General features: G+C 38.1%; 1 protein-coding gene across 20 annotated transcripts in view, besides 1 other annotated feature; it reads right to left on the minus strand.

Moving 5' to 3' along the window:
• NSUN6 (NOP2/Sun RNA methyltransferase 6) overlaps positions 1-12,712 on the minus strand; it is a 113,767-nt gene that overhangs the window by 94,728 nt on the left and 6,327 nt on the right. For 7 of the 20 annotated variants that reach the window (XM_024447884.2, XM_011519385.2, NM_001351116.2 and 4 more), the window contains 2 exons: positions 8,202-8,357; positions 2,188-2,267 (listed from right to left, as the gene is read on the minus strand). In XM_024447884.2, the coding sequence (XP_024303652.1) occupies positions 2,188-2,267; positions 8,202-8,357 (236 nt within the window). Of the gene's footprint in view, positions 1-2,187; positions 2,268-3,280; positions 3,353-8,201; positions 8,358-10,840; positions 11,300-12,712 lie in introns of those variants that run through there. The other 13 variants (NM_182543.5, XM_047424777.1, XM_047424782.1 and 10 more) reach the window with 7 other exon arrangements.
• Positions 11,439-11,538: an enhancer, noted in NCBI's record as "active region_3114". NCBI's record gives its function as "activates an Ori minimal core promoter by ATAC-STARR-seq in GM12878 lymphoblastoid cells {active_cell/tissue: GM12878}" and the evidence as "EXISTENCE:reporter gene assay evidence [ECO:0000049][PMID:35858748]".

Genomic DNA, 12,712 nt, shown 5'->3' on the forward strand with positions numbered 1-12,712 from the left:
AAAAGTGGGAGGTGAGGTGGGACAGGAGATGTAACAGATGATTACTTTTATACTTATGTACAACTCTAATTTTTACTTGCTTCTATAAAGAAAAACCTAATTTAACTCTATCTTTAGGGAAACTAAATAAAACTAAAGAATAAAGAAAAAGTGTTTAACAGAATAAGAAATGGCCAAAGTTTGAACCTAAATAAGTACAATTTTGCATCCTCATAAGGAGTGTAGTAACCTCCAAAGATCTGTGATTATGGTCTATTATAGTAGCAGCTAACTGGTCCAAAACTAAGAGATGATAGAAATCAGAAGAGCAGCTTCCTGGTAGGGTAGCTGAGTACAAGAGATGTTTCTGGGATAATGGAAATGCTCTATCTTGACTGGGGTGGGTCTTGGCTGCACAGTTGTACATATTTGTCAAAACCCAACAAACTAAACATTTAAGATCTCTTCGTTTCACTGTATGTAACTTTCACCTTTAAACAACTGAATACAAGATGAAAAACTTTAAAAATTAAACTAAATAGAATGAGCCTATACAAATCAACTTTAATTGCAAAAATACATTCTTATAGTAAAAAAAAAAAAAACAAAAATATTACACATGAAAATTTCCTTTTATTTCCCCCCTCTCTCCCAATCTAATTTCCTCAGAGTTAACCACTATTAAAAGGTGGGTATGTTACAGCTTCCAGATGTTTTTTTACATGTAAATAAATATACATAAATCCACAGTTGTGTACTTTTATTAACTGCAAAAAAAGTAATTATCCCAAGTATAGCAATTTGCTTTTGATACTTAAAAACTGATCATAAACATCTTCTCTGATTGGTAAGTAGAATTCTCCCATATTAAAGGCCATATACTATCCCATTGCATGGACAAATCATAGTTTATTAAACCACTGCTCTATTGCTGCCCACTAAATTGAAGTTTTAACAAACTTCAATTTTAACAAAAGCATTTCTATATTTATTATAATTCTTAGGAGTTTAAAAAGACTTTAGACTATAATTAGGAATTTTAAAATGCTCCATAGGAATAAAACTCCATTATAATCATTATACTATGAAAACTTATTTTTCCTTTTTTTTTTTTTTGAGACAAGGTCCCGCTCTGTCTCCCAGGCTGGACTGCAGTAGCACAATCATGGCTCACTGCAGCCTCCACCTCCCAGGCTCAAATGATCCTTCCACCTCAGCCTCCTGAATAGCCGTGACGACAGGTAAGCACCACCATACCCAGCTAATTTTTGTAATTTCTTTTACTAGAGGTAAGGTTTTGCCATGTTGCCCAGACTGGTCTCCAACCCCTGGGCTCAAGGGATCCGCCTACCTCAGCCTCCCAAAGTGCTGGGATAACAGGAATAAGTAAGCCACCAGATCCAGCCTGAAACCTATTTTTCAATTTTCAAACATATGCTTTCCAAATACGTAAACGCGCAGAACATAAATGGGACACAGTAGTTTAACATAATTGTTGAATTATGAATAAAATTTTACAGGCTGGGCAACGTGGCTCACATCAGTAATCCCAATACTTTGAGAGGCTAAGGTGGGAGGATTGTTTGAGGCTAGGACTTCAATACCAGCCTGGGACACATAGTGTGACTGTTTCTACAAAATAAAAAATAAATTAGCCAGGTGCAGTGGTGCGCAACTGTAGTCCCAGCTACTCAGAAGCTGAGGTGGTATAATTGCCTGAGTCCAGAAGTTCGAGCCTGCAATGAGCTATGCTTGTGTCCCTGCACTCCAGCCTGGGTAACAGAGCAGGACGCTTTCTCAAAAAATAAAATTTTACAAACATATCAGCTATGAAAGTAGAAAACAGGTTACTCTATATTTTTGTTGCAGCTCAAAAAAGAGTTTTAATTTAGCACTGAAAATTCATATGAAATACAAGTAAACAAATGAAATAAAACTTCACAGAAAGTGGGGGGGGGAAAACATCACTGCACTAAATGGACCTAAAATGCATTATTCTCAAGATCCTTGGGCCCATTCCTAGCCTTCTTTTGTATTATTTTCCATGACAGAGTCTAAAGTCTGCATTTATGAAGTTTTGAATTCCTGTTATCTATAGAAAGTTGCTAACAATGGAGAAACTTAGTATTATCACTGAACAATTAAAAAGCTCCCTGTGACAAACTTTTATTGAGAATAATATAATTTGGAAATGAAGTTCTTACAAACCTGGGTCCAATAACAGGAATAAGTAACACATCTTGAAGGTCTGGATGTTGAAGAATAGGAACACTTAATCCATTAAACTGCTGTTAAAGATAAACATGATTATAAAGTAATCCATACATTTGATACATTTCAACTTATGGAACTTTTCAGTATCATCATCTACCACAGCATGAAGCCCTAGTAGCTCTGGGGCATTTTCACCTTATTCCACGGGATACTGTAAAAATCCAAAAGACCTCAAAACAACAATGTTTTCTCTATTTTAATTCTGAAGTATCCTAACTTCCTTATAAGACTCAATTTTGCTTACTATTTGGCATTATAAACACAAACCGTGGTTACCCTAAATGATTTACTTTAGAAACTTTTATTTAATATAGAATTACATGTAGTATTCCTTTAAGAAAAGTTTCTGAATAAGATGTTAAAGACTGAGATTACTATTGATAAATACTACCTAATATACACAATCAACACTGGCATCCATGTCAGCTTTGGTGAGGAAAAGAAATGTTTATGGTAGAGGTTTGGGATTTTCAGTATCCTCTATTATAAGGGAACCAGAAGATTATCACACTGAAAGCAGGTACAGGTGCGGGAGCCAGCTCACACCAGCTCAGGAGAGCCACTGCATGCATCTCTTTCCAATTCCATGGTCACACATGTAGCTACCAGGGAACATGGTGAGTATTTATACCACAGAAATCAACAAACACCACAAATTGGGGTTATTTTTCCCAGAAAGGGTTTGTTAAATATGTACCAGCATACCACTGTCACAAGCAGAAGACAATTGGACACCCTACACAGAATAAAAAACAGCTGCATAGGGGACTGGATGACAGGGACCGTATACTCTATTAGAGGGCAGCACGCAAATATCTGACAACAAGTCTGCCTCGTAGGTTAGGGTTTATCAACTCCATTTTCACATACTACATAAAAGACCAATCACCACAATGCATGTTTGCATTGCCCCACAGGATTCATACACTATCTACAGAAAACTTCTGAGATCAACTTACTGATTTCTAAGTTGATAAGGAAACAGAAAATAATCGTGCATATTTTAGAAATAAAACTTCATATCTACCAAGTCACCAGCTCTCTGAACTTCTGCTTCTTCCAAAGGGTCTAGTTATCCAACAGATAACTAATAAGCAATCTGAAAGATAAATTCCACCTCAATCAATCAAATCCTTCTTCCTTTCTCTTTCCCTCCCTCCTTCATCATTTTGATAGCCTTACAGTATCAATTATAGGGAACAAATCTTGCCAAAGAGAAGATAATGAACTTTGATTTTTGTTTTGTTTTATAAGTAACATTTGATTTAGACTATAGAAATATCTTATACAGAGATCAAAGCTTCTCAAGCCAAAGGTCATTGTCTCTCCCTTTCGATTAGAAGCATGTTAATATATAAATAAAACCCATAAAACCACACATGTACATACCCTTCATAACACACGTTTTTTTCCAAACCAAGTATATCACCAGCTTCTTTTAATGTTGGTTTCTGCCCAATGCTATTTTAAAACAGCCTTATTGAGATAATTTACATACCATAAATTTCACCCATTTTAAACGTACAATTCAATGATTTTTAGTAAATTTAAAGAACTGTACTCCAGTTTTAGACAATTTCCATCATCCCACAAAGATCCTTCACGCTCACTGGCAGTCAATCCCTGTTCCCATTGCTAGGCAACCACTATCTTTCTTTCTCTATAAATGTGCCTTTTTCTGGACATTTCACATAAATGGAATACAAACCAAGCATCCCTAGTCTAAAAATCTGAAATGTTACAAATCCAAAACTTTTTGAATGCTGACATGATGCCAGAAGTAGAAAATTCCATACTTGACCCAGACTGGTCAAAGTCAAAATGCAGGCTCACAACACAGTTCATCCAGCCTATTGTGTTTTTGTTGTTGTTGAACAGCTAATTCAGGTACTCTGGTGATGCTACTGTGCTGCTTAGTTACCCTGAACACATTATTTTTTTCACTGTATTAAGGTATGTCTTTTTTTTTTTTACTGTTAAGTGCTTACATATGAGTAAGTACAAGAAAATGTTGGCCGGGCGCAGTGGCTCATGCCTGTAATCCCAGCACTTTGGGAGGCCGAGGCGGGTGGATCACGAGGTCAGGAGATCGAGACCATCCTGGCTAACATGGTGAAACCCTGTGTCTACTAAAAATACAAAAAAAAAATTAGCCGGGTGTGGTGGCGGGCGCCTGTAGTCCCAGCTACTCGGGAGGCTGAGGCAGGAGAATGGCGTGAACCCAGGAGGTGGAGCTTGCAGTGAGCCAAGATCACGCCACTGCACTCCAGCCTGGGCGACAGAGCGAGACTCCGTCTCAAAAAAAAAACAAAAAAAAAAAACTGAAAACGTGTAGGTCAGGCACGGTGGCTCACTCCTGTAATCCCAGCACTCTGTGAGGCCGAAGCAGGTGGATAACCTGAGGTTAGAGGTTTGAGACCAGCCTGGCCAACACAGTGAAACCCTGTCTCTACTAAAAATACAAAAATTAGCTGGGTGTCTTTGAGCGCACCTGTAATCCCAGCTACTCAGGTGGCTGAGGCAGGAGAATTGCTTGAACCTGGGAGGCAGAGGTTGCAGTGAGCTGAGATCGCGCCATTGCACTCCAGCCTGGCTGACAGAGCGAGACTCCCTCTCAAAAAAAAAAAAAAAAAAAAAGAAAATGTATATAAATACAATTTTCTCTGTATATAAATTCAGAGTCAGGAATGATAGTGATGTCAAACAACCAGATTGTCCACATGGCTGAGATAGTGACACCTTTGCTTTCTGATGGTTTAATGTATATAAACTGTTTCCTGCACAAAATTATATAAAATATTGTATAAAATTACCTTCAGGCTATGTATACAAGGTGAATATGAAACATAAAAGAATTTCATGTTAGACTTGGGTCCCACATCCTTTATCTCTCATTATATACATGCAAATATTCTAAAAGCTAAAAAATCCAAAATTTGAAACAATACGTAGCATCCGTGTCTACCTTCTTTAATATTTTTGAGGTTAATCCATACTGTAGCATGTATCAGTTCATTCTAGTTCATAATTTTTATTGCTGAAGGATTCTACTGTATGAATATATCACATTTTGTTTATCTACTTAAGAGCTGATGTATATTTGGAGTATCCCCTTTTGATTATTATGAGTAGTGCTGCTATGAACATTCATGCTGGAGAATTTATATGAACATATGTTTTCATTTATTTGGAGTATATACCTAGGAGTGGAATTGCTGGGTTTTAGAGTATGATTAACTTTTTAAGATACCACCAATGTTCCAAAGAGATCATATTATTTACATTTCAACCTACAATGTTTGAAGATTCCAGCTTCTCCATATTGTCACCAGCCTAATTAAATTTTATATTATTAAATTTCAGGCCAGGCACGGAGATATATGGGATTCACGCGTGTAATCCCAACATTTTGGGAAGCCAAGGCACGCAGATCACTTGAAGTTAGGAGTTCGAGACCAGCCTGGCCAACATGGTGAAATCCCATCTGTGCTAAGAATATCAAAATTAGCCGAGCATTGTGGCGAGTGCATATAATCCCAGCTACTCGGGAGGCTAAGCCAGGAGAATCGCTTGAACCTGGGAGGCAGAGGTTGCAGTGAGCCAAGATCGCACCACTGCACTCCAGCCTGAGCAACAGAGCGAGACTCCATCTAAAAAATAATGATAATAATAATTCAATATGTGGTGCACAGATATTGGGGAGAAAACACTTACTTTTATATCATCCTATTCAGGACATCTCTTTAGGACACGTGAACTTTTCAACGTGAAAGGAAAAAGAAATCCACAGCCTAAAACCTCCTCCAAGTACACTTTCTTACTAGAATCGGGTACTGCTTTACCATTGGTTTCCTATCTAGTGACTCTGACCGAAGCTTCCCTGTCCAACGTTAACCTTCAAAGAAAGGGACCCAAAGTCCAGAGTGACTGATCCTAGCCCATGGGATCTTGTATATCCAGACTAGGATGCTAAAATATCCAGGTTCTGGAAATCATTTGTTGTGGAAAAAAAAAATAATAAAGCCAGGCACAAGGCCTCACGCCTGTAATCCCAGCAGTTTGGGAGGCCAAGGTGGGCAGATCACAGGGTCAGGAGTTCGAGACCAGCCTAGCCAATATGGTGAAACCCCATCTCTACTAAAAATACAAAAATGTAGCAGGCGTCTGTAGTCCCAGCTACTTGGGAGGTTGAGGCAGGAGAATCGCTTGAACACAGGAAGCAGAGGTTGCAGTGAGCCAAGATCGTGCCACCGCACTGCAGCCTGGGCGACAGAGTGAGACTCCCTCTCAAAACAAAACAAAAAAAATCTGGATCTGAGTTATGGATACTTCCAGTGGGCCTCAGAACAGTTTCCTTTTTATTAGCTGAAAACATACACATGGTTATGGAAAAGTAATGATTTTAGTTGCTTAGGGCAACTACTTATGTTTTATACCTGTCATTACTCTCAATAAGATTATCACTATCAATAAAAATCAGATTAATTTTTAAAAAATCTTATTTAATTATTATACTAAGGTTTGGTCTCATACACTGAGATGCCATAGCTGGTTCTTCTAATAACATGGTTGTCTATTCACAACTTGGTACTTATAGTTGTTCTTAAATAGAGTATGACAAAGAGTCCATAAATGTAATAGAGAGATTTTTTAAAAGGGGATAAGTGACTCAGTGATAATTTTCTGAAATTTTCTAAATAACTAAATACAGCTTGTGATTGACAAATGGAAACCCTTTAATCATGGTTGCCTCTCGCTTTTAACTCAGACACAAATAAGGCAGAAATGAGTCTGCTGACACCCACGTTACATGTTACCAGTCAGTGAATAACTACAGTATACAATTTATGTGGTACCTCTCAGCATCTATTCTTCTACATCCTACATTGCTTTTGAGGTAAATTTCAGTGTACAGTGTATGAAACACCTAAGGCAAAGCTTTCAAAAGCAAAAGAGTATATACAAGATAACTCAAAAAAATATAAACAAGATAACTCATACTTTCTGCTTAGAAGTCATAAATGCCATTTTATAATATTGTTTTCATCTGTAAGAGGAATATTTTGCCAAAACTATTTTATTGGTTGGGTAAAAAAAGTCTCATGCTGTTTTACATTGAAAATAGATTCAGATTCATCATCTTAATTTCCTGGTTTTATAAAACATAAGGCGCTCAACACCTTGTTTTTTTTTTTTTTTTTTTTTTTTTTTGAGACAGAGTCTCATTCCATCGCCCAGGCTGGAGTGCAGTCATGCAATTTCGGCTCACTGCAACCTCCACCTCCCGGGTTCAAGGGATTACTCGTGCCTCAGCCTCCCAAGTAGCTGAGATCACAGGCATGTGCCATCATGCCCGAATAATTTTTTTATATGTTTTAGTAGAGACAGGGTTTCGCCATACTGGCCAGGCTGGTCCCAAAGTCCTGGCCTCATGTGATCCACCTGCTTCAGCCTCCCAAAATGCTGCGATTACAGGCATGAGCCACCACGCCTGGCCCAACATCTATTTTTTTATGTCAATTAACAATATAATCTCACAGGTACTTAGTATGTACCTCCTTACCCCTGGGCTTATTATCTCAGCTATACCATCTGTCCTCCTGGTCATTATATGCTACTTATCACAAAGCCACAGGTTTTTAAGGTTAGACTGGACTTCTTCACATGTATTTTAATGATGAAGCTACTAAGGCCCAGTTTAATGCGGCCCAGAGGGGTTTAATGAGCTATTTTAGTCACCAAAAATGAATAAATTTAGAATCAGAAGTACTAGGTTCAAGTTCTAGCATTACCACCTAGGATAACTTTGAAGAATTTACCATTCATGGTCCTCAATCTCCTTATCTGTAAAACTGGAAGTGTATTATATCATTCATAGGATTTTAATGGAAAACATGGTAGATTGCAAAAATGTAATTATGTACAAATGACAGAAAATTTCCACAAACCTTCTGAAGTTCATCAAGTAACAGATTTTTCACATGTTGTACTGAGGCTAAATGTGTATTCACTCTGACAGTTGTAAATGATGGAGGATGTGACAGGTGCTTTAACAAAGTTTCAAACTTCCTTTCTGCTTCTTGTTTACCTAAAGCAGTCACAATCTAAAAAGAAGTTCATGTTTAAATTTCCTGAGAATTAAAAACAGTCAGCAGAGCATCCTTATATATTAATTCCATCTAATGAAACATCGCTTAGCAATTGTTCAGCTCCATTCTATTTTGCTGTATTGTTTATATGTTAATAGCAACTAAGGAAATAGTAATACTTCACGGGGTTCTTGGGCTTCAACATGGTAATAAACACCTAAGAAAATGCCTGAAATAAAGGGCTTAGAAAAACATTGCCTAAACTTCAAAGCATTATGAACATTTTCCAAATATTAGTATCTGCTACATTTATTCACATAAATTCAGGAATTCAGTCTATTTATAATGCATTACCATTACAGCATCTCTGTAGAGCTAGCATTATATCCAAGTTAGTTGGACGTTAGCTAATTAGCTAACATCATATCCAAGAGCAAACTGGCTGGTATCCTTTTAAAATACCAATATTTAAAAAATAAGTAATATTGATATAGTCACTGTCATATAAAGATTCCCCTAGGACATCAGCTTTTTAATATGGTGTTATTAAATGTAACAAATATATATTATCCAAAAAAGATGAGTAGCAAAGACACCTGTCAAATATGACGGTATAAAGACTCAACAATATTCCCTTGTAATTAACCGAAGCTTTTCAAGAAACGTATTTCTTTGTCTTCCTATTTGACTAAACCCTGCTTTACAGAATCTTCACAAACCACTTGTTAGCCTACTCATGCACCAGCCTTAAAAGTATTCATACTTTCTCAAGGTTTAGTCTTATCAAAACTGAACATTCAGCCTGGGCAACATGGTGAAACCCCATCACTACAAACAATACAAATATTATTAGCCAGAGTGGTGGCCCCTGTCTGAGGTCCCAGCTACTCGGGAGGCTGAGGTGAGAGGATCACTTGAGTCCCAGAGGTCGAAGCAGCAGTGAGCTGTGATCATGTCACTGCACTCCAACATGGGCAACAGAGGGAGACCCTGTCTCAAAAAAAAAAAAAAAAGGCATAAAACTTAATATTCCTTTCCCTTCAGTACTTTTCACAAAGGCATAGCTTTTCATTTTGTAAAACCATACCACTGATGAGACTCGAGGCAGAGGCAGTGTCAAAGAAAGACGTTTGGATCTTCTTTATAAAACGACGTTCTCCATTTTAAAATCTGCTGAAAAAATTGTGGTATGCCCCTACTTCTCCTAATATGTGCCTTATATTTTAAGTCCCTTGAAATCAACAGAATATATTTTCTCTTTCCATACAGTCTAGTACCTCAAGCTAATCTTTGGAAATGAAACGTAGAAATCAAATCTAAAAGGCATGGCTTCAATAACATATTCAAAAATGAGTAACATTTAAGTGGTGTTACTCTAACTAAGAAAACTAAAGATTTCAAAAAAAACAAAGTTGCTTAGAGGCAACATGGTAAAGTGGTAGAGAGGACAGGCTTTGCAATAAAAGACAATCAACATTTACTGAGGACTTCTGTGGCAGGCACTGCCAATTGCAAACAAAATTAACATTTTTTGAAGACTTACATGCCAAAACAATGCAAGTTGTTTTCATTTACGTTTAATATCCTAAAACAACCTGGTAAAATATTTTTAACTTGACTAAAAAATTAAAGATTTGAAAAAAAACAAAGTTGCTTAGAGGCAGCATGGTAAAATGGAATAGACAACAGGCTTTGCAATCAAAGATAATCAACATTTACTGAGGACTTTAGCAAATAAAATTAACATTTTTTGAGGACTTACATGCCAAAACAATGCTAGTTGTATTCACTTACGTTTAATATCCTAAAACAACCTGGCAAGATATTTTTAACCATTCTCAATTTTTCACAGAAGAGAAAAATCTAGGTTAAGCCACGTAATTTACAAAGCACTAGAATGCAAATCATGTGCCTGAGATTCAAAAGCTGTACCTTTGTTCATTACACCTGAACTCTTTCCCTCCAGATTTCAATAGTTACTTGATAGCTGTGTCAACTTGGATCAGTTACACAATTCCTTGAGCAGTTTTCTGCTCAAGTCTATTAAAAGAGGAAAAACCTCTAAGAAAAAAAAGATTGTGAAGATTAAAGATGCAAATCTCCTAGCACAACTGCTGGCATTTAAGAGGCACTCAACAAATTACAGAAACCTTTTCACCTGAGTGCCAGAGCCAGCGCTCTTTTAAAATTCGATTCGAGTTCTTGAAGACAGGGACCTTTTCTTGTTCATCCTTGTAACCCTTTGTGCCATGCCTGACAGGCACATGCCTTTTTTCCCTTCTTTTCCACTCCTAAATGTTAAAACATATACCTTATTCACTTCGTATCTCAGTAAGCTTTAATACCTGTAGAAACATATTGGTATTTTTACACTTGATAGACAAGTAGTAAGGAACGACGGCTGTCAAGATTTCCCTTTATACTTATTTCTATTTCTCTCGAGTGTGCGAATATTTGAGTTTTTGCAAAATATCAACTAACATCTTTACTTGACCTACCTCCTTATTCATAAAGCCTTCCTTAAGATAGTTTTCAACCTCAGGTCTCAAAGATATCTTAGGGAAAATAGACATTTTTCCTGTTGTTTAGTTCTCCACCAAGAGAAATGCTGGAAAACGGTGTTTTGTTTTTTTTTTTCTTTCCGAATTAATAGTGACGAGTGTCTTGACACCAGATGCTGAGGAAAATCTTGCCGATCACGCTGAGTTAATTTCGGAAATGCAGAGGTACACGCTTTCTCAAGCCTAGCCGATTAGAAGGGGCTGCCGGGCTTCCACCACACCTCATCGAGGCAATGTTTTCTGGTAGAGATGCTCATGGAAATCACTGAGCCAATGCCACTCACGTTGCAAAGAACCAAAAAAAGAAAAAAATGCTTAGTAACTGAATCCGTGGTGAAACGGACGCAGATCAGTAAGCCAGGCTGACAGCAGCTCGGTCCCTTTATCTTTTCTATCAATTTCCAAACACGCGCCCCCTATTTCTCGGCGGAAAGTCGCTTCCGGCTTACGTCACGTCCGGCGCCTGCGGCCCACCCCTCCCTTTCCGGTCCCCCAATCCACAGCCGCAAGTTTCCCCAACACTGCGTTACGCTACGCCACGCCCCCGGAGGTTCCTAACCCTGCGTGAGGCTCTTTCACCTGCCTCAGGTTAAGTAGGCAGACCCCGCGGGCGGGATGGTCAAAGATATTTAGTTCCCGGTACCGGAGGGCTAGGTGCCAGGGGCAATGGGGAAACAGCCAAATGGCGTGGGTTGAGTGGAAGATGTTGCTGGACTGAAAAAAGGCACAGCCCAGTTGCTGTCCTGCCAGATGTCCTCCAGTTAGAGGATGAGGCCAGAATTTGGGCGCATCAGCCACCGTTTGATTTCATGACATGATTTTACCTCTCTCAGGCATACAGATCTGACTTCAGTTGTGAAGTTCATAGGGTTCATATTTTTGAAAGTTGGGCTAATGGTCTGTTAATATCCAATGCTCAGGTAAAACTTAAAACCCACAGACAGTGTTTACAGTTAGTTATAAGGCTAACTGCTACTTGTATCATAGTTGACATATTCTTTAGAGTTTGGAAGACCCTCGCCATTATTTTTTTTTCTTTTTTTTCATCATAAGCAGACAAGGATATAGATTCAAAGAACGAGGATATCTAACCAAACTCACTGAGTCATTTTATAACTGTACAGGAAAGTCAAAATAATTCTATCACCTTGACATATGTTTTTTGCAGCACACCATGGTAATTTACACATAAGTATAGGAAAGGGTTTTTTATTGTTTTTTTCTCTTTAATTTTCACACCGAATTATACACACAGACACACACACATAGAACAGGTACTTTCCATGACACACCAACTCTTTACCAGAAAGAGTAGAAAATAATGAATGACCATTATACCACACAACAACCTGCAAGTTGTTTATCATTTTCTCTGCTCTTTTTTTTTTTTTTTTTTTGAGTCTCTGTCGCCCAGACTGGAGTGGAATGGTGGGATCTCGACTCACTGCAACCTCCACCTCCTGGTTCAAGAGATTCTCCTGCCTTGGCCTCCCGAGTAGCTAAAATTACAGGCATGTGCCACCAGGCCCAGCTAATCTTTGTAATTTTAATAGAGACGGGGTTTCACCATGCTGGCCAGGCTGGTCTCAAACTCCTGACTTCAACTGATCTGACTCTCTAGCCTCCCAAAGTGCTGGGATTACAGGCGTGAGCCACCACGCCCAGCCCATTTTCTCTGTTTTAAAGAGTAAATCAAGGTTCCTAGGGTTGAAACAACTCTCCATGTTCTCACAAATAAAAAGCCAGGATAAAGACTAGTAATTTGGCTTCTAGAGCCAATACCTTGTCCTTGACCATAGCATATTTCTT

This window comes from Homo sapiens, chromosome 10, assembly GCF_000001405.40.
Source record: "Homo sapiens chromosome 10, GRCh38.p14 Primary Assembly".
Classification (NCBI taxonomy): domain Eukaryota; kingdom Metazoa; phylum Chordata; class Mammalia; order Primates; family Hominidae; genus Homo; species Homo sapiens.